The sequence below is a fragment of the Homo sapiens genome, chromosome 9, assembly GCF_000001405.40.
Source record: "Homo sapiens chromosome 9, GRCh38.p14 Primary Assembly".
Classification (NCBI taxonomy): Eukaryota; Metazoa; Chordata; class Mammalia; order Primates; family Hominidae; genus Homo; species Homo sapiens.
In genome coordinates, this window is record NC_000009.12 from 34707003 (window position 1) to 34734830 (window position 27828).

At 47.1% G+C, this 27828-nt stretch overlaps 3 protein-coding genes across 4 annotated transcripts in view; 1 reads left to right on the forward strand and 2 right to left on the reverse strand.

Annotated features, from left to right (window-relative positions):
- The window catches only part of PHF24 (PHD finger protein 24), a 316938-nt gene that overhangs the window by 41396 nt on the left and 247714 nt on the right, over positions 1–27828 (forward strand). The gene's annotated exons all lie outside the window — the stretch shown is intronic.
- On the reverse strand, positions 2003–3134 carry CCL21 (C-C motif chemokine ligand 21). The gene is made up of 4 exons (NM_002989.4): positions 2998–3134; positions 2775–2895; positions 2498–2680; positions 2003–2425 (listed from the first exon to the last, which is right to left on the reverse strand). Exons 1-4 carry the CDS (start codon positions 3062–3064, stop codon positions 2392–2394), a joined length of 405 nt encoding a protein of 134 aa, NP_002980.1. The 5' UTR covers positions 3065–3134; the 3' UTR covers positions 2003–2391.
- On the reverse strand, positions 16051–22486 carry SPATA31F1 (SPATA31 subfamily F member 1). The gene is made up of 4 exons (NM_001141917.2): positions 22282–22486; positions 21607–21652; positions 21020–21080; positions 16051–19986 (listed from the first exon to the last, which is right to left on the reverse strand). The coding sequence occupies exons 1-4, from the start codon at positions 22423–22425 to the stop codon at positions 16230–16232; spliced, it is 4008 nt and encodes a 1335-aa protein (NP_001135389.1). The 5' UTR covers positions 22426–22486; the 3' UTR covers positions 16051–16229.

Consider the following 27828-nt stretch of genomic DNA (forward strand, 5'->3'; position numbering starts at 1 on the left):
CTTGTAAACTTGGGGAAGAGGTTATGCCCTGGAGGGGCTGAGGAGAGGGAGACAATTGTTTAGGACTGCGAAGGGATTAGTGTGTACATCCAGCCAGAGTGGGCACTGGGCTCTAATTTCTGTCTGTGATGGGGCAAGTGACAGGACTGTTGAGTAGATGGCTTCGGGGGTATCTGGGGAGGTCAAGTCCAAGCCCAGAGGCTGTCATATCTGAATTCTTATGTCTCAAATGTGGAGTCTAGGACTTGAAGAGATATACCTGCTGGAACCACAGGGGTCAGAACACTCACTGGCGAGACTGATGTCCAATGATAGGATGGTGTAGGAGGCAGGTAGGAGGCCTCCCTTGGGCCTTGAGGTTTCTGTGACCTTTGCATAACCCTTGGCAGGTGGGATCCCACAAGAGTGCCTGATGTTGAATTTCTCATCAGCACTCTAGTGCAGTAGCTTGGAGTAGGAATTAAGTTCATTTAAGGAACATTTCAAAAGTAGTATTTCTTGCATATCTGAGTTTATAGATTAATTTCACACCTGCTGCCCTAGGACAGGCAGGGGAGAGGCCCTGTCTTCACCTGCTGCAAGAGGAGCAGACAAGCCAATACTTGAGGATGTTAGGATAGGTGGTAAGTGCTGTGGCATACTCAGGCTCCTACAGAAGGAAAAGTTGATGGAGCAGCCACTTCTAGCTTCTGAGGTTCCTACCTTTCTTCTTCTTCTTCTCCTCCTTTTTTTTTCTTTTCCTGAAATGGAGTCTTGCTCTTGTCGCCCAGACTGGAGTGCAATGGCACAATCGATCTCACCTCACTGCAACCTCCGCCTCCTGGGTTCAAGTGATTCTCCTTCCTCAGCCTCCCGAGTAGCTGGGATTACAGGCGCCCGCCACAATGCCCGGCTAATTTTTGTATTTTTAGTAGAGACGGGGTTTCACCATGTTGGCCAGGCTGGTCAGGAACTCCTGACCTCATGATCCGCCTGCCTTGGCCTCCCAAAGTGCTGGGATTACAGGCCTGAGCCACCGCGCCCGGCCTTGAGGTTCCTACCTTTCTTGCCCTTCCCCAGGATCTGTTCCCTTCTTTCTCACATTGTCTGGCCCAATCTGATGGCTTCTACTCTCCCCGCCTGGAGGTGATTTGGGGAATAGAAGGGTCTTCACTCTGGGGAGGAAGAGGTAGAGGAGAGCCATCTGAGGCCTTCCAGGAGAGGAGACTGATTCACACCTGAATCCTGGGGTTCTGAAAACCTGCCCCAGGAGACTTATTCCTTGACTTCAAAGGGTTAAATGGGCTAAAGTAGTCTGGATCCCAGCCAGGAAAGAAAGGAGGAAAAAAAAAGGGAGGAGGTTTTTCCATCTGGAAGGAGGCTGAGTGAGTCCAGGGGCCCAGATAGGAATAGAAGGAGAGCACAACAGCCCCATTAAACAAAGAGGAGAGGTCAAGGCCCGAGCTTCACTGAATAGGGCTGAAGCAAGTCCCCTCGGGTCTTTGCCTCCCAGGGGCTCTCTCAGGGCTGGAACTGTGCTAGGGCAGGTTTCAATATAACTTGTGTTTGTCTGTGTTATAGATGGGCCCAAGCCACAGCTTCCCTCCTAGGGACCCTTCCAAAGAACCACTTGGAGGGTCTCATTGAATAGTTCCCAGGGAAAAGAGAGGAAGCCTCTGGGATATCTGGGGAAAGGTCTGAAGGTCATGGAAAAGATCCGAAGGTCACCCCTGGAGTTAGTGCAGGACAGAATCAGGGTCTCAGAGGTCTGCAGAGCTGTTGGGGGTGTGTGCTCCATGTCCACCACCTCTCCATTGGCAGGATGCCTCAGAAGACTGGGTCCTACCCTGTCCTTCAGCCTCCCTTTAACTGCTCAGGGGTGCAGGCACCTGAGAGGCAAGGAAACTCTTGGGGTAGATGAGAACATAGCATTTTTCAGCCTGAGCTTTCGGCTCAGAGTGTGTGACCCCACCCTGTAGGAACCTTGGCATCTCGGTGGACATAAACACATGGGAACAGGTACTTGGGTGGGAAGACAGAACAGCTTTTTATTCAGTTAGGTATAAATCATATTTACAAGGAAGAGGTGGGGTGTACTGGGGAGCCGTATCAGGTCCAGGGTCCTGATGATTCTCCTTCAAGGGGACAGTCCTGCTGCCTCCTCTCATGCTCCCTGGGAGACTCTCCCTCCTCGGTCTCTCTGGACCTGGCCTGCTGTGGGCAGCTCAGCCATGCAGGGTAGAGCTGGGAATGCAGATGGGGTGGTTAAAGCAGGAGAAAGAGTGTGGCAAGGCCAGCATGGGGTGGCTGCTCCAGGGCCCCTGAGCATAGCCTCCTTCTTGCATCTTGGGTTCAGGCTTCAAGCGCTGGTGAGGCTGGTGGGGTCTCCAGGGCTCCAGGCTGCTCACTGGGCTATGGCCCTTTAGGGGTCTGTGACCGCTCAGTCCTGTGAGGGCAGAAGAGGGGTGTGAGGGGCTGACTGAGGCTCCCCTTTACCCACATCCCTCAGATTCCTCACCTCTTGCAGCCTTTGGAGCCCTTTCCTTTCTTGCCAGTCTTGGAGGCCCCCCTGTCCTTCCTGCAGCCCTGGGCTGGTTTCTGTGGGGATGGTGTCTTGTCCAGATGCTGCATCAGCTGCTGCACCCAGAGCTCCTTTGGGTCTGCACATAGCTCTGCCTGAGAGCGCTTGCGGGGCAAGAACCTGCGGGTGGGGGCTAGTAAGCCTTCTTAGTCTTGCCCACCATGCCCTCCCCACCCCGTCACCAGCCAGTACCCACCCCTTTGTGTCCACTCACAGGATAGCTGGGATGGAGCAGCCTAAGCTTGGTTCCTGCTTCCGGTAGCTGCGGACAACCTTGGCGGGAATCTTCCTTTGGCTGTACTTGAGGCAACAGTCCTGAGCCCCTCCATCACTGCCTGCAGGGTGGGATTCACAGGGAGCCAGGGGCTGCTGGCAAGCTCCTATCCAGGCCTCTTGATCCCCTTAGCCCCATGCAAGGCCCCTCCCTGCCTTGGTACCTTGGGTCCTGGGGATGCCAAAGGCCAGAACCAGGATAAGGAGGCTCAGAGCCAGTGACTGAGCCATGTCTGTGGTAGAGGGTGAGTAAGAGGCCAGAGCTGAGGGTGAGGTGGGCAGCTGCAAGTTGGGGGTCTGTGCGTGGGCTGGGATTGGCCTGCTATTTATGTAGCTAGACACTTTCACTTCCCTTAACTTATCCCCACTCCTTTTCCTTCCTGAAAGCTGGATTTGCTGGCACCCAGCCCCACTTATCTCAAACTAAGTGGACAGTCCTCAGCTGCCAAATTTTATGTCCTCATTAGTTGAATATGTCTGGGCCTGAGCCTTCCTTCTATTCCCAGCTACTGCTTTCATGCAGGCCTCACTGCCTCTCCCCTGGAACACCATGACTGTCTCCTCACTACGCTCCAGGATCCATACCCTTCCCCTCCTTCCAGCAAATCTGATTATTAAATTGTAAGAGTTCTTTTTTTTTTTTTTTTTTTTGAGACAGGGTCTAACTCTGTCACCCAGGCTGGAGTGCAGTGGTTGATCTTGGCTCACTGAAATCTCCGCCTCCTGGGCTCGAGTGATCCTCCTACCTCAACCTCCCCAGGAGCTGGGACTACAGGCAAGCACCACTGCGCCTGGCTGATTTTTCTATTTTTTTTTTGTAGAGACGAGGTTTCACGATGTCTAGCCCAGGCTAGTCTTGAGCTCCTGGGCTCAAATGATCTGCCTGCCTCAGCCTCTTGAGGAGCTGGGACCACAGGCACATGCCACTACGTCCGGCTACTGTTTTCATTTTTCATTTTTATTTTTTCTAGAGATGAGGTCTTGCTATGTTGCCCAGTCTGGTCTTGAACTCCTGGGCTCAAGCGATCCTCCTGCCTTGGCCACCCAAAGTGCTGGAATTATAGGTATGAGCGACTGCACCTGGTCTGTAGCATAACCATTTTGATTCCCCTTTGCTTTCCTTTTCTATATATTTTGTAGTTATTTTCCTAATGGATACCTTGGTGATTATAATTAACATTCTAAACTGATAACAACCTAGTTTGAATAATACCAACTTAGTTTCAATGGTATATAAACATTTTGCTCGTATACATTTTAGTCCCTTCTTTATATTGTTATTGTCACAGATTACATCTTTATACATTGTGTTCCCATTGACATAGATTTATAATTATTGTTTAATGCATTTTCCTTTTAAATTATATAGAAAAAAGTGGGGCTACAAACTAAAAATACAATACTAGCTTTTATCTTTTTTTTTTTTTTTGACACAGGGTCTCGCTTTGTCACCCAGGCTGGAGTGCGGTGGCACAATCTCAGCTCACAGCAGCCTCGACCTCCTGGGCTCAAGTGATCCTTCCACCTCAGTCTCCTGAGTAGTGGGGCCACCATGCCTGGCTAATTTTTGTATTTTTTGTAGACACGAGGTCTCACTATGTTGCCCAGGCTAGTCTCGAACGCCTGACCTCAAGCAATTCACCCGCCTTGGCCTCCCAAAGTAATGGGATTACAAGTGTGAACCAGCATACCTGGCAATGTTGTTACTTTTTTTTTTTTTTTTTTGAGACAGAGTCTCACTCTTTCGCCCAGGCTGGAGTGCAGTGGCGTGATCTTGGCTCACTGCAACCTCCACCCTCCGGGTTCAAGCCATTCTCCTGCCTCAGCCTCCCGAGTAACTGGGATTATGGGCACCTGTCACCACATCCAGCTAATTTTTCTATTTTTTGTAGAGATGGGGTTTCACCATGTTGGCCTGGTTGGTCTCAAACTCCTGACCTCAAATGATCCGCTCACCTTGGCCTCCCAAAGTGCTGGGATTACAGACATGAGCCACTGCGCCCAGCCTGCTATGTTGTTATGTTTATCAGAGATCTTTGTTTCTTTGTGTGGCTGTGAGTTATTATTTTTTGTCCTTTTGTTTCATTCTGAAGGTCTTCCTTTAGCATTTGTTTGTTTGTTTGTTTGTTTTTTCTTTCTCCCGTTAGCTTTTCTTGTGGGCAGGTCTACTATTAATGAACTTCCTAAGTTTTGTTTATCTGGAAATGTCTTATTTCTCCTTAATTCTTGCAGCATAGTTTTGCTGGATATATAGAATTCTTGTTTGACTTTTTTTTTTCTTCAGTCTTTAAATATATCCCCCATTGTCTTTTGGCCTCCCATGGTTTCTGAAATCAGCTGGTAATCTTATTGAGAATCTCTTGTACATAATGAGTTACTTCTCTCTTGCTGCTTTTAAAATCTTTGGGTTTCAACAATTTGACTATAATTTGTCTTGGTGTGGATCTCTGAGTTTATCCTTCTTAGAGTTTGTGAACTTCTTGGGTATGTATATTCATGCTTTTCATCAGATTTCAGATGTTTTGTCATTATTTCTTCAATTTTTTTAATGCCCTGTTCCCTCTCTTCTCCTCCTGAGACTCCTGTGATGAGGTACATTTGATGGTATCCCTGAGGCTCGTTTATTTTTCTTCTCATACTTGATAATTTTAATTGTCTTATCATCAAGAATACTGATCCTTTTTTTTCTGCTTAAATTAGTTGTTGATTGCCCCTAGTGAATTGTACATTTCAGTTATTGTATTTTTGCTTCCAGAATTTCTGCTTGAGTCCTTTTTTTCTTTTTACTAATTTCCATCTCTTTATTGATAGTTTCATTTTGTTCATACACCATTTTTCAGATTTCCCTTAACTCTTTGCCCATGGTTTCCTTCAGCTCTTTGAGCATATTTAAGACAGTTATTTTTTTTTTCCAAAAGGGCCATTGTTTCCCAATTTAATTTGAGGTCATAATAAAACAAGCAACAAAGCAGTATTTGAGATTTCAGCTTCTCACCCTTATCATCAAACCTCCCATCATCAATATTTATTGAGCATTTACAGTAAGACAGTTAAAGTCTTCATCTACTATGTCCAATATCTGGGCTTCCTCAGGGATAGTCTCTGTCAAATTCCTTTCTTCCTGTGAATGGGCCATACTTTCCTATTTCTTTGTATTAGTAATTTTTTGTTGATAACTGGGCATTCTGAATATTACAGTGTGGTATCTCTAGAAATTCAATTTTTTCACTCCTTAGGGATTGCTGATATACACTTGTTGAGAACTCTGCCATCAATTTGTGGTGACTTTTTCAAACGGTTTTTTGCAAAGTGTGTATTCTTTGTTTTGTGGGGTTACTGAAATTTCTGTTTATGACCTGACAAAGGGTTCTCTTCCTTCCCCGCAAAAAGATTCTGTCCCTTTAAATCTTCTGATATATGTGGCTCAGGAAGATCCTGAAGCCCAAGAGGGCTGAAACAAAGCAAGCCTGTCCCTTAGGGAACCAGAAGACAAACCCAAATGCAAAACCCCTCATTTTTGGAGGACAGGGTTCCCCCTGCCCACTCAGTGACCACCCAGCTACTTCAGGAATGTGGGCTGCTATCCCCACTGTGTTGGTTGGTAGCTAGTGCATGCATTATGCTCTCTTCTGAAAGACCAGCAACCTCTCCCTTCATCAAGTACCACCCCCCCTGCTTGTTATAAGTGTCCAATCGGGCTCCAGACTTCTGAAAGAGTCGATTCCAATTGCTCTTTCCACCTCAATAGTTGCTTTGGTGGAGGGACCAACCCCTATAACTTCTTACTCTGCCATTTTGTATGATGTTTTTCTGTAGTTTAATTTTTAACATTTTAAAATCTTTTATCCATTTGGAGTTTATTATGGTATATGATGTGTGAGGGTTATTGGGTCATAACTTAGAATCTATATTTAATACTGGATTGGGACCTTAGAGTTGTAATCCTCACGTCAGAGCTGGAGAATCCATCTGGTTTCCAGAGTGCTAAACTCAGCAGCAAGCTCCTTACATCTTGTTTTTTGAAGGATGGCTTATGACAGGATAGGGAAACCATAGGAAGAGGAGGAAATGAGTGTCAGGAGAGATGTAGTCAGGACAGCCATGGCCAGAGACAGAAATATTGGGTTGCTCTTGGGGAAGGATGGGATGCAGAAGGCATGGGGTTGAAGATGGAGGTACTGTTGGGAGGGGGATAAAGAGGTGGTGTTTCATTCTAAGGTCCACAGAGTAGAGGGGCTGGAATTTGGTGGCCTAGAGGAGAAATAATTGAGCTCTTGAGTCTGAGGTTTTCAGACTCAAGAGACCTTAAGGCTGAGACCTTAAGCAGGGCAGGGAGTGACTCTGTTGGCAAGAAGCTGGTGTTCCTGGAACAAGACTAGGCAAAAACAAGGAGATAAGATTTCTTGGATCTTTTACCTGGTCTAGAGGCAGATCCTGGAACCAGAAAGTTTTAAATTCCCAGCTCCCTGGTTTCCCCACCTGCCTAATGGGAGTGACTAAGAAAGTAGTGAGCAGCCTGTCTCTGAGGAATTCTCAGACAGATAGAATAGCATGGGCTTGGGAGGGGGCATGCAGATAATTCCGAAGTCATATTATATTAGTTTGCTTCCAAACTTGGCTGCACTTCAGAATCACCTGGGTGACTTTTTAAAAACAGAATTAGAAGCAACACGCCAGACCGCCTTAAATAGAATCTCAGAATAGAGCCAACAAATGTGTATTTTTACCAAGTTCTGCAGGTAATTCTAAGCATTTGGTGGGGTGGGGCTGGGAGAGCCACTTGGGCCTATTCTGCTCCCCATCCCACACTCTAGATTGACACAGAGCCGGTGAAAGGGAACAAAGTTGGTCTGGGGAAAGGAAAGCTGGAGTGATGCCCCCTCTACCTCCCCTGGAGGAGGAGACTTTCTCGCCTGGCACAGATTGTAGAAAAAAAGGAGAGATGGCAGGGAAGAGGAGGGGGCTGTACCTTTTTCTTTCCTAAAAGCTTAGGCTTGCTTTCTCTCCAAGATACCTGCCTGTCTCCCTTACCCTTATTCATGCCATGAAAGAAGCTTCTTGTTGTGTCAGATGGTGTGCACAACCCCCTAGGTCCCATCTCTGCCTGGTCTTCCTAGATGCAGGAATCTAGGTTGATTAGGCATCAACCCTAAGCCCCTGCCTGTGAACTTGAGCCTGCAGTGGTAGAGCAGTCTCAGGGAGATGTTACATCCTGGAGATATTGAGGTCTGTCTGCTTGGTGCTGGAGCTTAGAATCAAGGTTAGGAGCCCTAAGGGAAATGAAGGAAGCAGTAGGGGCTTTTCTGGAGGTGGAAACCTGGCTGGACAAAATCCAGCGCAGAAAACAGCTGCCCTGAGAGTGAGGATGGGATAGCGAGTCCCTACCCCGTCTCCAGTCTGTGAGTGGACCTGGTGGCAGGGGTGGTGAGAGGGAGGCACTGAAGCAGGGTAGAAGAGAGTGAGGAGCTCGGATGATGAGAGAGCCATTACCCTTTTCTGGGACCCCAAGTCTTCTGAGCCATTCCTCTGCCCTCAGCTGCTGGCCTGGGTTTATTGTACCCCACAGCCCCACTTGAACTGTAAGCTGGGTTTGGGGATTTGGAGCCTGCAGCTTTGACCCAAGCTCCTCTCAGTCCTCAGACCAGGCTGGATGCAGAGCTTGGGGAAGGGGACACAAAGACTCAGATGGCTGCACATCCGAGATGTGGGTCTCCACCTACAGTTCCAGTCCTCTGGGTGAAGATGTTGGCTTGGTGAGCTCCTGAGAGAAACTGGCTACTTTGTGACAACCTCTGGGATGGCCTAGGTGCAGAGGAGTGCTTCACTGGTACCTGGGGTGAAGGATAAAGGAGGTACACATGGCTGATTTCAGCCCTACCCGTGATGATGAATTCACCAGACTGAGATCCTGGGAGGGGGAGAGGAAGTGTGCTTATTCACACCTACCTCAGCAGGCCCACTACCTCTCTAGGACAGGCACCTGGAGTAGACATCCTAGGTGTGGGTGTTGCAAGAGTCTGGAAATCCCCTAATTGGAAAGGGCCACATTCCCTTCAGTCTCAGGCCCGTTTGCTCTTGCCTGGTGGGGTTTCCAGGGCAGCAGATGCTCCCAGCTTGGCAGGCAAGAGCCAGGGAGGGGTATGGCGGGAATTTCAGCTCAAGGGCTAGGCAAGTCCTGGAATAGGATTGGGGTGGGCTGGGGCCCATGGGCCTGTATATCCAACAAAGGTCAAAGGGCCTGGGTGCGTTGCTGCTCCTGGGTTCTCAGCGGAGCATTGAGCCCTCTAGAAATAAGATGCCCTGTGGACTGTGCAGCCGTTACTGAAGGAGCTACTCAGTTTCTCGGAGTCATAAGTGTGCAAAATGTGTGTGTCTAGTGTAGTTGCATGCATTCATCAATGTGTAGCTCTACCAAGGGTTAGGGTTAGAGTTAGGATTATGCTTAGAACAGCATTGATGTTGTGGTTCCAAATTGGATAGGGCTGGAATCATGGTGATGTTAAAGTAGGATTTGGAATTGGGTTTGCGGTTCCTGTTGATAGAAACAGGCGTATCTTAGATGAGGATTGTGTTAGGGTTGGAGTAGGGCACTGCTTGCATTTAGGATTTGGATTAAGAGTGAGGAGATCTTAACCTAAATCCTAAATGATCTTAATCCAAGGAGATAAATTTTGTGTTGGAGGTTGCTTTTAAGTTTTCTCTCTCTCCTTTTTTGTTTGTTTTGTTTTGCTTTGTTTTGTTTTGTTTTGTTTTGTTTTGTTTTGTTTTGTTGAGACAGGGTCTCACTCTTGTCACCCAGGCTGGAGTGCAGTGGTGCAATCTCAGTTCACAGCAACCTCAGCTTCCCAGACTCAAGCTATTCTCCAGCCTCAGCCTCCTGAGTAGCTGGGACTACTGATGTGACCCACCATGCCCAGCTGTTTTATTTTATTTTACTTTTGTACATTTTTTTTGTAGAAAGGGGGTTTCACCATATTGCCCAGGCTGGTCTCCAACTCTTGAGCTCAAAGCGATCTGCCCACCTCAGCCTTCCAAAGTACTGGGATTACAGGTGTGAGTCACTGCACCCGGCCTGGTTTTAAGCTTTCAAGCTAGTCTGGAGAGGGACTTACGCTTCTGCATAACGTGTGGTATTGATCTGATGTAGATGACAAGTTGTTGGCTGTTTTCCAGGACCTCCACAGGTGAGGGGCACAGAGTGGCCCCTGCAGCTATGATCCAGCTAGAGGAGGGAGGCATTCAGCTCCTGGGGAGAGGGCAGATCAGTTTTCTATCTCAAACTTATTTGGCCATGTAAACATTTTTGGATCACACCCACCAGCATTATCTGTCTGGGTACAGTTGTTCCCAGAGTCTTATTTGAAAAACTATGATTTAGAGTTTTCTTTGGGAATGGGGTTGGAGTTGGGTTTAGAGGTGTGGTCAATAAGGTTGGGATTGTGGGTTAACATGAAGTTTAGGCTAGAGCTACATATGAGATCATGTCTTGTGTAAGGGTTTTCTAACTGGGGAACCAGGACCTGGTTCTTCATGGTTTCCCGAGGATAACGTGGACTAAGTGTGTCTACCTGGTTTGTTCTTCCCTTGTGTCTGCTATGTCAAAGAGTCTGAGAGTCAGGACCCTTCAAGGATGGAGCCAGCAGTAAATTGGGGGCCCTCAGGGAGATGGGTGTGTAGGTGAAGGATGAGGCTGCTGAAGAGGGCAGTGGACTCTCTTCCTGACCCTGACATTCTTTAAGAGCACACAGCCACATTGTTGAGACCAGGGGTATGCACGTGAAACCAAAGCTATCCTATTAAAGGACAAGCAATAGGACAGAAACGACAAACCAGGATTTAAAGGAGAGATGAACCTGGTCTGAGGTGGCCTAGAGGATTTATGGAGGAGAGGGTCTTTGCAGGATGGATTTGGACTGCATTTGTATCTGTGGGTCTGTTAGATGGGTTCTGTGTGCAAACCTGTCTTTGTGTCTGCATGTGTGTTTGTGCCCGTGTCTGCTCAGGCATGTCTGATGCAGGGTGTTCATGGGTCCATGTGAGTTTGTCTTCCTTGACGTGTTTGTCCTTACTCTGAACTAGTTTCTGAGTGGCACGGTTGACTTTTGTCTTTTTCTGTATGTACCTGTGTGGTGGGATGTCTGTGTCCATGTGTCTTTGACTGTGTGTATTTGATTCTTCCCTGGCCCCTTACTGTATCTTCCACCTCCCCTGACATACCCCAGCTGCTGGTACTATTTACCGCAAGGAGGGCTTCCCTTCCCGCCGTCTGGATTCCCATGGGTCAGTCTGCCTGCCCAGGGACCTGCCCCTGTGGCCTTTGTAGCAGGCCTGACCTTGGAAGTGACACATTCTGGAAATCCCCTAATATGCTACTTGCCTAGCCACTAGCTGAGTGTTTATAGTGGAGGAGAGGGACAAGGCAGAAAAGGGGGGCAGTTGGCAGCACTCACCCCTCCTTCTGGAAACTGAATCTCACTGGCCCCTTCCCAGGCCCCCCTCTCCCTCCCCATGCTCTCTCAGGGTCCTGGCCTCACTGTTTCTGGGCCTGAGAATGCACAGACCTCTGCAAGACTGGTCAGCCCTGTGAGGCATCTGGTCCTTTGTGTCCCCAAGCACTTTACATGCCTGCTTTGTGCTTACCTCTCATATTCCCACCTGAGCTCAAGGAAGTCCTTTCTTCTCTTCTGTCCCTGCAGAGGACACAGGGGCTATTCTGGCCCTTCCATCTATGGTAGGCCTGGCCTAGACCATGGGCTCCAGAGGCCAGGTAGAGTATTCAGCCCTGGTTAGCTGGTTAAGCAGCAGAGGCCCAGCCACCTCCCACATGGTGCAGGAAGCAGTGTCTCCATGGAGTCTATTCCTGTGTTCATCCTGTGTGCCTTGCCTTCCCTGCCTGGGCTGCAGTGAGCAGGTACAGAAGTGAAGCAGCCATGGTCCCTGCCCTCAACAACTCAGTGTTGAACACAAGTTATGTTGTGGAGAAGCCACCCTCCTCCCACTGCTGGTGGTCGGTTTCCTGAAATTCCCTCCAGCCAATTCTGAAGTGCCCTTCTGGAAAGCCCAAGAGAAGAGCTCTAGAAGGTCGGGGCCATTCACCATGACATGATGTTACCTGAGTGTGCCAGAGGTGAACCCAAAGATCCCAAGCAAGCACTGATGTATTCCTAGCATCTACCCCCAAACCTGAAGTAGTAAATTTTCTTTTTTCTTTTTTGAGATGGAGTCTGCCTCTGTCACCCAGGCTGGAGTGCAGTGGCACGATCTTGATCTTGGGTCACTGCAACTTCTGCCTCCTGGATTCAAGTGATTTTCCTCCTTCAGCCTCCTGAGAAGCTGGGATTACAGGTGCACACTACCATGCCCGGCTAATTTTTGTAGTTTTAATAGAGACAGGGGTTTCACTACGTTGGCCAGATTGGTCTTGAACTTCTGACCTCAAGTGATCCACCCGCCTCGGCCTTCCAAAGTGTTGGGATTATAGGCGGGAGCCACAGCGCCTGGCCTGAAGTAGTAATTTCTTGAGTTTGTACTCTACATGTGAATTTTGCTTCTTGCCTCTCTTCACCCTGGGGAAGATAGAAGGTGGGGTTGTGCTGGGGTTATGGGATGGGATGAGCAAAGCTTCATCTGCCATCAGCATCCTGCATGAATCATAGGCTCTGACCCTGACTTTGCTTAGCTCTCAACTTTGCTGAGAACTCAGAATCCTGAAGGTATCAGTTCCAGCTCATCTTTGCCCCCAGTTCTGTCATGGGACTTTAGTTAGCAGCATGAGCCCATGCTGGCCTCAGGCAGGTGGGAGCCTGTAGGGAACCATGGGAGGGACCTGCTCCACCCTAAACCAGGATGTATGCACGCTAACCCCTGGCTTCCTACCTGATGCTGCTGTGACCCTCCTGAGTCAATTCCCTTCATTCTGGGCCTCCCTCTGTTCTAGCTGTGTGGCTGCCTGCCCCACTCCCACCAGGCAGGGAGGATGTGCCTGTCACAATACCTCCTTTGATCTTTGGGAATGCTTTAGGAAAACATCTGTTGAATGTTGGTTCAGCAGGTTTGGGCCTTGTGCCTCTCTGCCCTGGGGACCATGTATGGGCTGGGCCCCCATCCCTTAGGCACAGAATCAGCATTCAGAGCAGGGACATATCCATGTTTCTTCCCATCCTGCCTCTTCTGTATCCAAGCAGTGGACACATTGTGCTAAATGCTGGGGTCCCATCAGAGGAAGCAAGTCCTGCCACCTCCTCCTCCTAGTGATGAGATGGTGAGTGATCCTGGGTTTCCGTAGGAACCAGGGGCATCCCACTGTCCCTCAAAACATGTCATAAAGGGCCAGGCGCGGTGGCTCACGCCTGTAATCCCAGCGCTTTGGGAGGCCGAGGCGGGTGGATCATGAGGTCAGGAGATCGAGACCATCCTGGCTAACAAGGTGAAACCCCGTCTCTACTAAAAAATACAAAAAATTAGCTGGGTGCGGTGGCGGGCGCCTGTAGTCCCAGCTACTCGGGAGGCTGAGGCAGGAGAATGGCGTGAACCCGGGAAGCGGAGCTTGCAGTGAGCCGAGATTGCGCCACTGCAGCCCGCAGTCCGGCCTGGGCGACAGAGCGAGACTCCGTCTCAAAAAAAAAACAAAACAAAACAAAAAACATGTCATAAAGAAGTCACAGCACTTCCTGCCCTTTTTCCAGCTCTTGGCTCCTCTGTGGTAGGTCAGAAGGGGAATGCAGAGGTGCCACCTCCTGAGGGATAATAGCTGTCCAAAATCGATGTCCCTTCCATCTTCTCAGGGCAGCTTCTTTGTCTTCCTGCTTCCCAATCCTCTCATCCCACCCATATAACCTCCCTGGTCCCTCACCTCACTGAGCACTAGGATGCCATCTCTGCCCTGTTTCTCCATCTCCAGCCTCATGCTCTTGCGCAGTCTCCATGCATTTAGAGCTTTCTCTGTGAGCTCTCCTGCTGGTACAGTGTTCCAAGAGCACCTGCTGCACAGATATCAGCAGCAGCTTTGATCACCTTTTCACCCACCTATGTACTCACAACCAACTGCTTGGGACCTAACAGAAACTTTCCATGGTAACTTCCAGAATCTTTCTCCACCTCCAGCTTTCCCGCTTTGGTTCTCCATACGGTTCCCCCTTCCCACAGACACGGTCCCTTCCCAGGTCCTCACTCATCCCTCTGGGTCTTTGCCCACACTCCCTTATATGTGGAAGAATCCTTTCTTCTAATCCATGAAGTCCTCCCTCATTAACTCTACCTTCTCTCTACCACCAGTGAAGTTCTGTATTTTTAGCCAAAGCCAGACTGTCAACTTGGGGACTTGCTCCCATTCCTTCACTTCTGAACCACAACATTGTTCCAGCAGTTCTCCCCTTGAGCTCCTGCATCATTAATTTATCCATCTCCACTGGATGTTTTCCATTAACATCCACCATGCTATGTCTCCAGTCTTTTTTGAAAAGCCATTTTGGGTTCTAATGCCTCACATTTCTGTATCTTTATTTGAACAGACCTCTTTGAGGAGTTTATGTTACCCTTTCTAACACTAATTGCTGTCTTTCCATTCTCTCTCTCTCTCTCTCTCTCTCTCTCTCTCTCGATGGAGTTTTGCTCTTGTCGCCCAGGCTGGAATGCAATGGCACAGTCTGGGCTCACTGCAACCTCCACCTCCTGGGTTCAAGTGATTCTCCTCAGCCTCCTGAGTAGCTGGGATTACAGGTGCGCACCACCACGCCCAGATAATTTTTGTATTTTTACTAGAGACAGAGTTTCACCATGTTGGCCAGGCTGGTCTCGAACTCTTGACCTCAGGTGATCCACCTGCCTCGGCCTCCCAAAGTGCCAGGATTACAGGTGTGAGCCACTGTGCCCAGCCGTCCACTCTCTCTGGAATCCACTCCAGTCACACCTTCATCTCCATCATTCACCTGAGGCTGCTCCTGTTAAGGTCATCAATGATCTCTGTGTGGCTAAATCTAACACGCCTCATCTTAATTGGCTGACTGGCAACTTTTCATGCAGTTGATCTCTCCTTGAAAAACATTTTTGTTTGGCTTCTAGTATTCCACACTCATCTTGTTTTCCTTCCATCTCACTGGCCACTGCTTGTCAGTTTCCTCTGTTTACTAGTCCCTCCTTTACTTTCCAGTTTCTTAACATAGAAGAGTCTCAGGGCCTACTCCTTAGATGTCTCCATTTACACTTAGTTGTTTGGTGTGTTATCCAGTTGCATGGTTTTTTCTTTCTCACTCTCTCTGTATTATCTGAAGCCAGGACCCTCCCTGAGGACCATCAGGCTTCTGTGTTGAGGATAAACTGTTGGTTGAATAGTCTCAGGATGAAATGGGGAGATTAGTTATGATGCTACTGGAGTGATGGTAGCAGTAGAGAGGGTGAGAAGTGGGCATTTTCTCGATGCATGCTTGAAGGTAGAGAGAACAGGATTTACTGTGGGTTAGGAAAAAAATCAAGGATAACACCATTGTTTTTGTCCTAAATAACTGGAAAGATGGAGCTGCCATTCACTGAAGTGAGAAATATCATGAATACAGTGGGTTTGGTATGTGTGACTGAGTGGTGGTGAAGGGTAGAAAACCAGTTCGTTTATTTTTGTATGGTTTGAGATGAATATTGGACTTCTAAGTTTATAATTTGACTGGACAATTTGGGAGTAATAGACTGTCGACCCCATGGGATCATGAGCTCCACTGGGTCAAGGCCTGTGTCATGTTCATTGATGTGTTTTGCATAGTTCTTGGCACGTAATAAACACTCAGATATTTAATTGTTGAAAACAAGATGCTTCTCAAAGTAATTTTTATTATGGGTTCCTCCTCACCAGCTGATTGCTTCCTCCTGTGGCACTACCACACACCTCATAGCCCCATTAAAATGATCAATGCTTTGTCTGTCTCCACAGCCCTGACTTTGGATTCAACTAATGTAAGGTCTTACTATGCATTAGCCACTCTCCTAGGCCCTGGAGTTATGGGACAGTGGAAAATATTCTGGTGGGATGGATGGTAAATGTTCAGAAATCAAGCATGACCTTTAACTTCAGTGCACTCTAGATAAAAGCTTTTCTTCTTTGATGTGGAATGGTGACCCATCTGAAAGGTAAGTTAAAGCTCCTTCCCTAGACAGGAAGGACTTTTTAGCCTCCCTCACACCTTCCCTTAACACAATACAGCAGAGACAAGGAGCAGACAGACAATGTATTGCTGAGAAATATAGAGTGTATTTCTAGTGGCATCTGTCCCACCTGCACATTTATGGAAATGACAATACTGGTCCTCTGGAGGGCTGCAGCAGTTGGGGAGCCTATAAACTCTTTTTCATGGCTCTGCATGTTCTCCTTGAGCGGACCAATGTTTCTATCTGAGGTGAGGGTCAGGAGCTAGGTTGGGTGCCCTGGTTTGTTGGCACAAGCCTCTCGAGGACAGTGACGAGGGCAGTGGCGGGGGTAGCCCAGGGCTGAGGCAGAGCCAGGTTGTCTGGAGTGTAGCCGGAGCTTATCGTCTAGGGATTGGGGACCATCCAAGAAGGCTGGGCCCACCAGCTTCTGAGCAGGACGAGATTGGGCCTTGGAGCACCCTGTCGGCTTCTCCGTCTTACTTCTCCCCACAGGGCTCTTGGCTGGAGCCAGGCTCTTTGCAACATTTTCTTTTCTGGTTTTGGCCACCTTCGCAGCGGCTGAGAACATGGAGTCCTCATGCCCTTTGCCTTTTGTCTTGGGGTTAATATGCTGCAGAAAACATTTAATTTTATTTCTGAAGCTAGACTCTGTAAGGCTGGGCTTCTTTTGAGCATGGACTGGCATCACCAGCCCATGCAAAACTTGGCCTTGCAAAGTTTGGCCCTGCAAAGGCTTAGCCTGAGTTGGTTGGCTCAGGAAAGGCTGACCCTGTGAAGCCTGGGGCAACACAGTCTGGGCATTCTCAGGAATTGTCGCTGGTTCAAGGATGACAGTTAGCTTGGTTTGACTGTCTTGCAGGTCCTTCTCAGACTCTTTCTCCCCAGGGACTCGTGGAGGTAGCTGTGGGAGCTTAAGCTGAGGGTGATGCTGGGGGCTGTGTTGACAGGGATCAGCAAGATGAAAGCTACGGCTCCATCGCCAGGACCCTCGGGGTGTCTTGTTTGGAAGCATCCCTGCTGGCCTCTGGTCTTCAGCAGGGCGTCTCTCTTCTCTGGTTGAGGAGCGCCCAAACCCCGCATCCCCTTCTCTGTGGTCCCTGGCTGCTTTGGTTTCCTCTGGGTCCTCTCTGTTTCCTGCTAGCATGGGGACATGGGCTGGGTCCTTGCTCTTGCTAGGGCTTTGAGGCTCAGGGCCACAGGGTTCCTCCAGGCTGGGTTTGTTCACATTGGCCTCTACCTGAACACAAGGCATGTGGGCCTCTGTCATGTCCCCACTGGGCTGTGAGATCTTGGAGACCGAGTGGGCAGAACCCTGGGGTACAGCTTTGGAATTGGATTGCTTTTGGTTCTGCTGCACTGCCTTCAAGTCATTGGCCAGCTGTTCTTTAAGGTGAACCCCTTCTGGATTAGGGGCAGGAAGAGTGTCTGGTGGGATGGGCAGTTCCTGGAGCAATGTCTCCCCTTGGTGGTTTAGACTTTCAAGAGACTTCTGTGTGGATATGTTCTCTGGTGCTGCAACAGTTTGTTCCCTGGACTTCCTTGCCCTAATGGGAATTCCCCATTGTATCTCTAGGACCTTTTTTCTCAGGTGGAAGTTTAGTTTGGTCAAGATATGTGTCTGGAGTGAGTGGGGGCTAGTAGGATGCGTCTGGCTTTCTAGAGGCAGCGTCTCCATTGTTCCTTTTACTGGCACTGCAGGCTGGAACTCTTTTGCAACGTCTGTACAACTCTCATTGTTGCCTTGAGGGCATGGCCCAAGACTTATACACTGTTCTTCAAATGAAACCATCTGAATCAGAGGCTCTGCTGGGATTTCCACGGGACTAGGCTCCATCTCTGTGATGACAGATTGGCTAGTGACTGCCGGGGCCAGGGCCCTGGGGAGCGCCACATAATACAGAGCAGGCAGCCCCGACAGGAAGGCCAGATGCTTGTGCCGTAAAGTTGTCTCCAGTTTCTCAATGGCTTCCACAGACAAGACTCGGAGCAGCTTAGGGTGTTCAGTGACAGTACCTGGTAAAGCCTGTTGCTGCTGATCAAGGGCCGTTGGCATCCAGGGCATAACTTTGTGATGCAGGTCCGGGTCACTTGCTGTCTGCAGTTCCAGGAACTGGCTTTCTGGAATGCAGGGAAAAGGAGCCACTGCCAGGACCCCAGAAATTCTGCAGTCCCAGGACCTGTGTACACAGGCGGGGATCTTGCCCTGGTGGATTTGTCCACATTTGGAGTCGATGTGGCTCTGCAGTATTGCCTTGACCTGAGTTAACAAGTGTGGCCTGGGGATGGACACTGGGGCCGCAATGGGTGACAGCACATCGCAAGCCCCGTTGGCCTCTAGGGCTACAGGCTGGGGGATGCTCACGTTGGCTAGGGCTGTGCTGCTGCTGGACACAGTCTGCTGATCAGTGGAGGTAAGGAGCAACTGGATGGACTGCTGGATCTTCTGAGGCAGGCCCCAGCGATGGCGAATCAACTGTTTCTGGATGTGGAATTCCAGCAGCTTCCGGGCATGCTCCGGGAAGAAGAGTAGTTCCCTGGTGAGCACTGAGATGGACTTCCCTGTCTGGGAAGCTGTCGTGGTCTCAGGAGACTGAGCTTTGCCACAGGGCTCATGCTGCATGAGGCACTGGGTGTGCTGAGACCTCTGGAGGGCAGCTGGCCAGCCCCACTGAAGCTGGAGTTGCCTCTGTAGCAGGTGCCACTCCAAGGCTTCATACTCAGCCAGAGTCAGAAATGGGACATTGATCTGAGCTCGTTGATGGTCAGATGGAGACATCCAGTTTGGGGAAAGTGGGGAAGAGGGTGGGGCTGACTGGGGTGAAGTTTTAGGGAGCAGTTGGGGGAAGGAGAGCTCATTGAAGAGAAAAGGATCCTTCAAGGGGGGCTTGGGCACATTTTCAATCTTGGGGAGGCCTTGAGATCCCATGAAAGTGGCAACCAGGGACTCACTGTGCAGAGAAGGGAGCCCACAGAATAGCTGGCTGTATTTCTGCTGGAGATCACTCCCTGAGTCATTATCTTGTCCCCCAGACTGTGGATGGGGGCCACTTAGGGCTTTAAGGGCTGGAGAGGGCAAGGCTAGAGCCATAGGGTTTGGAGTTTGCTGACAGTGGTGTCTTTGTTCTGGGTTCATTGTGGACCATTCAGAAACCCAGAAGGTCTGGATGGGCTGGCCAGCCACACATGAACACCAGGTCTGGAGGGAAATGGTCTCAAATCTATGAAGAGAGACCTGAGGAGTATTCTTCAGGTTGAAAGAAACTGGCTGGTCATTTCCAGGTTGGTAATACAATGGTGGGTTTGGCATAAGCTGCCTCAGGGACTCCTCCACACGTCTTGGGAGCCCCCACCTCTGGAAATGCATCCATTTTTTAACATGTACCTCAAGAAGCCTCAGCACTTCAGGACTGAGAAATGGCAGGTGGGCAGGGAGGACCATATGCAAGGCCATTGGATGCATCCGGTTCAGGGTTTCTGGGTTCAGGGACAGCAAGGAGACCTGGGAATTCAAGTGATGCTGGCCTTGGTTTCCCTGGACAAGGCTGGGGTTGCTCTGCGTCATCTCCTCCTGGTTCAGTGGAGCCCTTGGCTTCTCAATCCTTGAAGAAGCTATGGTGTTTGGGCCCCGGAGCACATCTGGCACTTGAAATTCCTGCCCTAGCTGGAGGTGATCAGCCCAGTAATCTTGTATGCCATCTGCATACGTTGACTGGGCAGCTGACTGGGTTAAAGATTTCTGATCTGTTAATTGTGACAGTGTTGGGGTTACAGATGACAGTGAAAGCTCTCTGGTGTGCCAGGAATGAAACTCCAGACTCTGATCTAAAGACATACTAGACGTAGACAGCATCTCTAGGCAAGAGGAGCCCTGCAATGGCCCCGATAAAGTCAGGGAGATCTGGTTGTTCTCACCCACCAGCAATTGCTGAATCTCCAGAGCCACAGAATTGCAGATTTGGCAGCAGGGATCTGCACACAGGATTCGCCGCACACTTCTCTCCAGAGGAAGCCAGCCCTGGCTAGGAAGGGAAACACGGCAAAATTAACGATGGAGTGACATCTGCCTTCTTGGAAGAGTGTGGGCTGGAGTGGGCACTCTCCTTTCCCAGTCCTGAAAACCCTGGGGCCTATACCATCTTGTTGTCTACCTGTCTGCTTTCCTTGCTAAGAAAATGCCATTTGGCAAGGTGTGGTGGGCTGGGCTGATGGTCTGGAGCTTGTTGGGCAAGGCCTCAGACAACCCATGGGAGGGCATGGCCCTCAGAGAGGGCTGGGAGTTGGAGTCAGTTCTCTGTTGACCTTGTTGAAAAGCTGAACTAGGAGAATGGAGCTAGGCAGTTAGCTGATGGGGCATCACCAGGAACATCACCAGTTAGAACCCAGACCAGTCTTATTTGAGGCTAAGAAATCCAAAGCCTGTATTCAGTACTTCCAAGCTGTAGAAAATGAGGTCCTTGTGGGACTTCTGCATTCTGGGGTATTTGGTACCCGTAATGTTATACCCAGCATCTCTTCGGAACCAGTCCTGTTCTCTAGAGCTCTTAAGGAGAGGATAATATAATAGACTCCTGTCTAAGGAGTGTCCCAAGTACTGGCCTCACTGAAGACAGAACCGGAGGAGGTCATGTCAGCAGAGTCTAGCCAGAGTCAGGTATTTTCCCTTGAAAGGGTATAGCTTTATTCCCTTGAAAGAGTATAAAGAGAATAAGACAAGGATGACTTCTTTATTCAAAACCCATTCTCTTAACTGGGTAACTTATCTCATGGCTGAGTGCAGCTCCATGTAATATGTTTTATGAATTATACACTAGTAAAATCCTGAATTGTAGAACTGCTGTTACCCTAGCACAGAACTGAACTGGGCAGCTCATCTCTCCTGAGACATGTGAACCCCACTCTTCCCTGGCAACCCTCTCACCCAGTGTCCCTGCTTCCACTGTGTATGTCTCCCTCCCAGCCATTATCTTTCTCCTTAGTCCTGCCCCAGGCCAAGCCAAGAAATCATCATAGGCCAGGCTGGTTGTTGATAGAGTGCAAAGAGCAATAGATCACCTTTTAATGATGGAGAGCAGCTTCTGTGGCTTCTCAGCTTCTTCCCGGGAACGTCTCCTAGCTGAGGAACGGGGAGACAGTGTTATATGGCATGGGATAATTTCATAGGCATCCTATAGGAAGCTGAATAGTAAGGCCTTTGACTCTCATCAAGAAAAGACTACAATCCTGAAAAGTCCGTACTCTAAGGCATGTCTGAGTACAGCATCGCTGTAACACAATGTCCCATATCTAATTTCATTTGATTTTTACAACCACAATGTGATTGAGGCAGGATTGTCAGTGTTTTGCTCATTTTGTGGATAAGAATGAGAGATGAAATGACTTCCACAGGGTCATAAAACTAGTAAGTTATACAATTAAGAACATCTGCTCTACTTTCTTAATTCTTCATTTCCAGGGCATTGAGGTACAGGATTTTGGAACATTCTCAAGTTATGATTTCCCACCCATGGAAATTTCAGTCTGGGGAACTGGAGTCTTCAGTGGCAGAGCACCTGGCTCTTGGCTCCAGAGGTCACAGAGGGACAGGATTCATGGGAAACACCCACAGTGGAAGGGAGTCAGAGGAGAGATTGGGACTTTACCTGTTGATGCTGCATCTCTAGCTCTTTGCCTGACTTTTTGGTGACACTTAGAAGACAAAAACATTAGAATGTGAAGCTGGGACACCATTTTCTTTCTCATGTCCAAAATGAGACAAAACTTACATACATTTTTCACTCGCTTTGTATATATCTATCTGTATTTTATACACTCTCCTGGACTTCCTTTGCCTATTCCACCTTTTTACCCCATTTTCCTTCTCTGCTTATTTTGGATTCACTTGGAGGCTTTTCCAAATTCTATACCTCCCATCTGATTCACAGAGAAGTCCTGCTGGATGCTGAGGATGACACAGGAGGAAAAGCAGAACAGACAAAAGGGTAAATGGTTCTAACAACCAAAGGACTTCTGCTTACAAAGCCCACCAACCGGAAAAATCCCCCATATTCAGAGAGCTTCCGAGATCCAGCAAGATAGACTTCATATTATCTAGTTCTCAATCCAAACCAAATAGAGAGGTTCTTGGCTTTTCAATCAGACTATGTTGCGGGAAGGGCCTGGTAAGGAATTATAGTCTCTGAGAAGAAAAGTATTACACAAAGGTAACTGAAAGTATGCTATAAAAATTCTGGGGTGGGGATTATAAGGGAGCACGGTAAGAACTTATAGGCTTCTTATCTGAGGCTTAATTAGTTCAGTTGGGATCACAGCCCTACCCGGCAGCAGCTCCTTTTAGGTTCTGAACTCAATTCATGGTGGCTCCTTTTCACTTGCCAGATAATTACAATAACGATGAAGATGGAGCCATAGATGTATAAGGGATATCCAACTTCCCACAGAACAAAAGTAGGGCTCAACATGGTCTAAACTTCATTAGCATGAGATCAACCATCCCTCTATCTCGGAATTCAGGGTTCTGGTGCCTAATGAATCCCAGTGCTAGGCCTTGTCATGTCCACCTCACAGAGGACGGAACTAGGCCACCAGACTGCATCACAAAGCCCTCCTGTTTCATAAGGTACATGTAGTAGGGAAGCTCATGTGGTGATTCAGTCTGTAGATGAGGGTGTTTTGAGCCTGGGACTGAAGGTGCCACAAGCAGTGTCTATTTCCTAGTCTGTCTTCACTTTCCACTCCCTATACCAGCCTGATGCCTCGGCTCTCTCCTTCACAACTGTATGGTCACCTGTCCTCAGAAAACTGAGTGCTTTGGCACAGGGGTCACCTCATAAGAAGGGGTAGATAGGCCGGAGGAACCTCCACTAACTCTCCCACTAGTTTTGGTAATATACCTGAGAAACACACATGAATTTAGGGAGGGCGGAGTCTGGTTATGGCTTGGAAATGGAGATCTTTGATGTTTTAGGCAATGGGTGATTGGTAACAGAGGTGCAGGAAGGGGACCATGGCTGATGTGGTAGGGTGGTAGGGAGAGGCCAAGGTGGTTGTACGTATCTGGTCTGTGTGGCCTCAAGCTTGCAGATGGGTTGGGACTGTAAATGCTACCTTCCATGGAGGCACATTCATGCTCAGGGAGATGAATGCCTGCAGAGATGGGTTAGTGGCCGCTTCTGACTGTGGGTCACAAGTGACTAGTTGCTGTTCATGGTTGGATGTATGCTGTTTGCCTGAGGATGTTTTTTTTGTTTGTTTGTTTATTTTTCTCAAATCTGTATTTTGTAAATTTTTAGGCAGGGCATGTGTTTTCCAATTCAGCTTCAGGACCCATTACTTCCATAGCCAGACTATTGATTTACCTGCCTAGCTTTTGTAGATATTGTGATATGCCACCAACACCTCAGTATTCCTGAATTTCCTTGAGAGAGTTCTGCTCTGGTAATGGTGGTCTCAGGCCAAGAAACCTTTGGGCTGAAAATCTCTGAAGAGGCTTTGGTCCTTCCTCAGTATCCAGCCCACCCAGCAGATGTGGTAAGCACCCAATATGTGCTCAGCCCTAAGCTGGGGAGTGTTGAGGATACAAAGACATTTGAGCCGCATTGGCTTTCTGCTTTCAAGATACTTAAAAATGTAGTTTCAAAGACAAGACTAATTCATACAAAGCAAGAGCCAACAATCACTACAAATAGACTTATATACTCATTCGTAAGGCTCTGGCCACAAACATTCCATTTCAGAGAAGAGAAATCATAGTGAGGATCATGGTCATCAGAGAGGGCTCCTGGGTAGTCGAAGTTAAGTTTAACAGTGCAGGTTGTGGGTAAAAGGACTCTTCCTGGTGGGAGAAAAACTTACCAGCTCATGCTGAATCTAGGGAATGGGCCATGGAGTTCATTTGGCAATAACAAATGCAGTGTATCTCTAGCAGAATATAGAAGGGTGGACTGGAGAGCAATTGTGAGAAAGATTGGAGGATCAGGATAGAGGCCTCTTGATGGAGGGAGGGCCTTTGTATCTATTTTATTTCAATCCCTAAGACTATTTTTTTTAAAGTAAGCATACTTACACATGGCACAAAATTTAAAAGGCAGAAGAGTGTATAGCTGTCTCTCATCCCTGTCTCCTCCTATTTTTCTTCCTCGTGTATCTCTCTTTTAAAAAATGTTTTATTTTTATTTTGTATGGGTACATAGTAGGTGTATATATTTATGGGGTATGTGAGATATTTTGATACAGGCATACAATGCATAATAATCACATCAGGGTAAATGGGGTATCCATCACCTCAAGCATTTATCGCTTCTTTGTGTTACAAACATTCCAATTATACTTCTAGTTATTTGAAAATGTACAATAAATTATTATTGACTGTAACCACCCTGTTGTGCTATCAAATACTAGGTCTTATTTATTCTATCTAATTATATTTTTTGTATACATTAACCATCTGCCCTTCTCCCACCCAAACCCCCACACCTCACCCCGCTACCTTTCCCAGCCTCTGGTAACCATCATTCTATTCTCTATCTCCATGAGTTCAATTGTTTTAATTTTTAGCTCCCACAAATGAGTGAGAACATGCAAAATTATTTTGCCATGCCTGGCTTATTTCACTTAATATAATGTTCTTCAGTTCCATTCATGTTGTTGCAAATGACGGGACCTCATTCTTTTTTTATGGCTGAATAGCACTCCATTGTGTATATGTACCACATTTTCTTTATCCATTCATCTGTTGATGGACATTTAGTTTGCTTCCAAATCTTGGCTATTGTGTAAATATAGGAGTGCAGATATCTCTTCAATATACTGATTTCCTTTCTTTTGGTTATTGGTTGTATACCTAGCAGTGGTATTGCTGGATCATATAGTAGTTGTATTTTTAGGTTTTTTTTTCTTTTTTTGGACAGGTTTTTGCTCTGTTACCCAGGCTGGAGTGCAGTGGCGTGATCATGGCTCACTGGAGCCTCAACCTCCTGGACTCAAGCAATCCTCCTGCCTCAGCCTCCCAGGTAGCTGGGACCACAGACATGCACCACCACACTTAGCTAATTTTTGGATTTTTTTTTTTTTTTTTGTAGAGATGAGGTCTCACTTTATTGCCCGTGTTGGTCTTGAACTCGTAGGCTCAGGTGATCCTCCCACCTCGGCCTCCTAAAGTGTTGGGGTTACAGGCGTGAGCCTATTTTTAGTTTTTTTGGGGAACCTCCATACTGGTCTCCATAGTAGCTGTACTAATTTACATTCCCACCATCAGTGTACAAGGGTTCTCTTTTTCTCCACATCCTTGCCAGCATTCATTGTTACCTGTCTTTTGGATAAAAGCCATTTTAACTGGGGTGAGATGATATCTCAGTGTAGTTTTGATTTGCATTTCTCTGATGATCACTGACATTGAGCACCTTTTCAGAGACCTGTTTGCAATTTGTATATCTTCTTTTGAGAAATGTCTTCTTTTGACAAAAGATCTTTTGTCCATTTTTCAATAGGATTATTAGATTTTTTTTTCTAATGAGTTGTTTGAGCTCCTTATATGTTCTGGTTATCAATCCCTTGTCCAGATGAATAGTTTGTAAATATATTTTCTCCCATTCTGGGGTTGTCTCTTCACTTTGTTGATTGTTTCCTTTGCTGTGCAGAAGCTTTTTAACTTGATGTGAGCCCATTTGTCCACTTTTGCTGCTTTGGCTGTCTGTGCTTATCGGGTATTGCTCCACAAAGAAATCTTTGCCCCTAGATCAATTTCCTGGAGAGTTTCCTCAATACTCCTGTATCTTTCAGAATTAATTTAGCATGGGAAGCATAAATAAATTGATATATTTTCTTCATAAATGGAAACATGCTAGATACTGTTTTCCCTTTTCTTTTAGTTTTAATTATTATGAATATATCTTCTGTATATAATTTTCTTTAATGTTTGTACAGTCTTCTTTGGTAAAACTATAACATGACTTATTTTCAATCCTATATCCGTGGATATTTCTTTAAAGTTTTTTTGTTCTACCAAATAACACTGACATGAACCTCATGTGTATAAGTTCTTGTACACTGGTATGAGTATATAACTAGGAGAAATTCCTAAGAGTTGAATTAATGGGTCAAAAGGTGTGTGTATTTTAAATGTTGATATTGCATAATTGCCTACCAATTGTATGAATTTGCACTCTCACCAAAACTCTGTAAGGGTGCCTCTCTTCCTATGCTTGTTGACTCAATATTATCAAATTTTTGATCTTTGTCGATATGAGAAGTGCAAATTTGTATTTTATATATTTATAAATGTGTTTCAATGTATGATAATCACCTTTTTGCTTCTTTTCTGTGAAATATCTCTTCCTATTCTTAGCTCACAGATTATTGGGCAAAAATCACTTATTGATATGTAAGTGTTTTTTAATATTAAGAAATTATATATGTATCAGAAATACTTTTTCTCAGTTTGTCATTTGATATTTATAATGAGTTTTTGCCACATGTAAATTTTTGGATTTTATGTAGTTGAATTTATTAGTCTTTTATTTTATGGCTTCTGTGGGTCTTTTTTTTTTTTTGAGACGGAGTCTCACTGTGTTGCCATGATGCTGGATTTCAGTGGTGCCATTATGGCTCACTGCAACCTTGATCTCTTGGGCTCAAGCGATCTTCCCACCTCAGCCTCCCTAGTAGCTGGGATCACAGGCATGTGCCACCATACCTGGCTAATTTTTATTTTTATTTTGTAGAGATGGGGGTCTCCTGTGTTGTCCAGGATGGTTTTGAACCCCTAGTCTCATGCAATCCTCCTGCCTCGGCCCTCCAAATTGCTGTGATTACAGGCATGTACTACTGTGCCCGGCCATGGCTTCTGTGTTTTAAGTCACACTTAGAAAGGTTTTTCTCTTCCTGAAGTTATAAAAAAGTTCCAATTCTTCAGGTACTCATGGTTTCATTATTTTTGATAAATGAATGAAGTTAGAACCTGTATTAGTTAAGAATTACACTGAGGTACATCTAACAGAGATTCAACTACAAAATAGGGTTTCTCGGGCTTCTGGATTCCTTAGAAAGGAAAGTTGGAAGTAGCATTACTTTCACTCTTACAACAAAAGAAATCACACATACAAGAAGAAAAGAAATCACAAGACACTGTAAATTCACAACTTTTCTTGAATTTGTCAGCAAGCTGAAGTTCTAGGTCAACTCAATTAACCTTAATCTAAGGAAAGACATCTTGAAGGAGATGTAGCACAGGTGCACTTGCTTATTTGGAGCCGACTCCCCCACTTCCCTCCCATCAAGCTTGTAAGAATCCAGATAAAAGTTTTAATGAATTGCTAAAGGCCAACTGTAGCCCAGCGTGAGAATACAGAAATGCTGGGACTTACAAGTACAGGGAGAATTCACACTCACTTGCAGGGTCCTTTCCACGAACCTTAGTGTGTATTCACAAGAAAGACTGGGGGTAGTGTGAGAGTCCTGAAAAAATATCACTCGTGGTACAGGCCTGGGGAAAAGGAAGAGCAGCTGCTGAGGGGAAAGGCACCAAGCCCTTCCCAGATTCTTCTCCCTTCTCTTCCCTATGGAAACAAAAGCCTTAAGTTGCTAGATGAAGAGCAGTAAGTCCTGTCGTGAGGCCATAAATCACGTATAGGTGAAGACCCATTGCAGCTGGAAAAAGGGAAAAGAAAAAAATCCTCTACCTTTGTAGGCCCCAGACCTCCTCTACCTTTGTAGGCCCCAGACCATCAGAAGTATTCCAGCTGGGGGTGGCATAGGATCAGGGAGAAGGCCCTGTCCTGAGATTCAGGGGCACAGCCCCTGTCTAAAACTGAAGCTGAATCAGAAAAACAGAATCTCCCCACCCTGACCAACCAGGCTAATAAGCA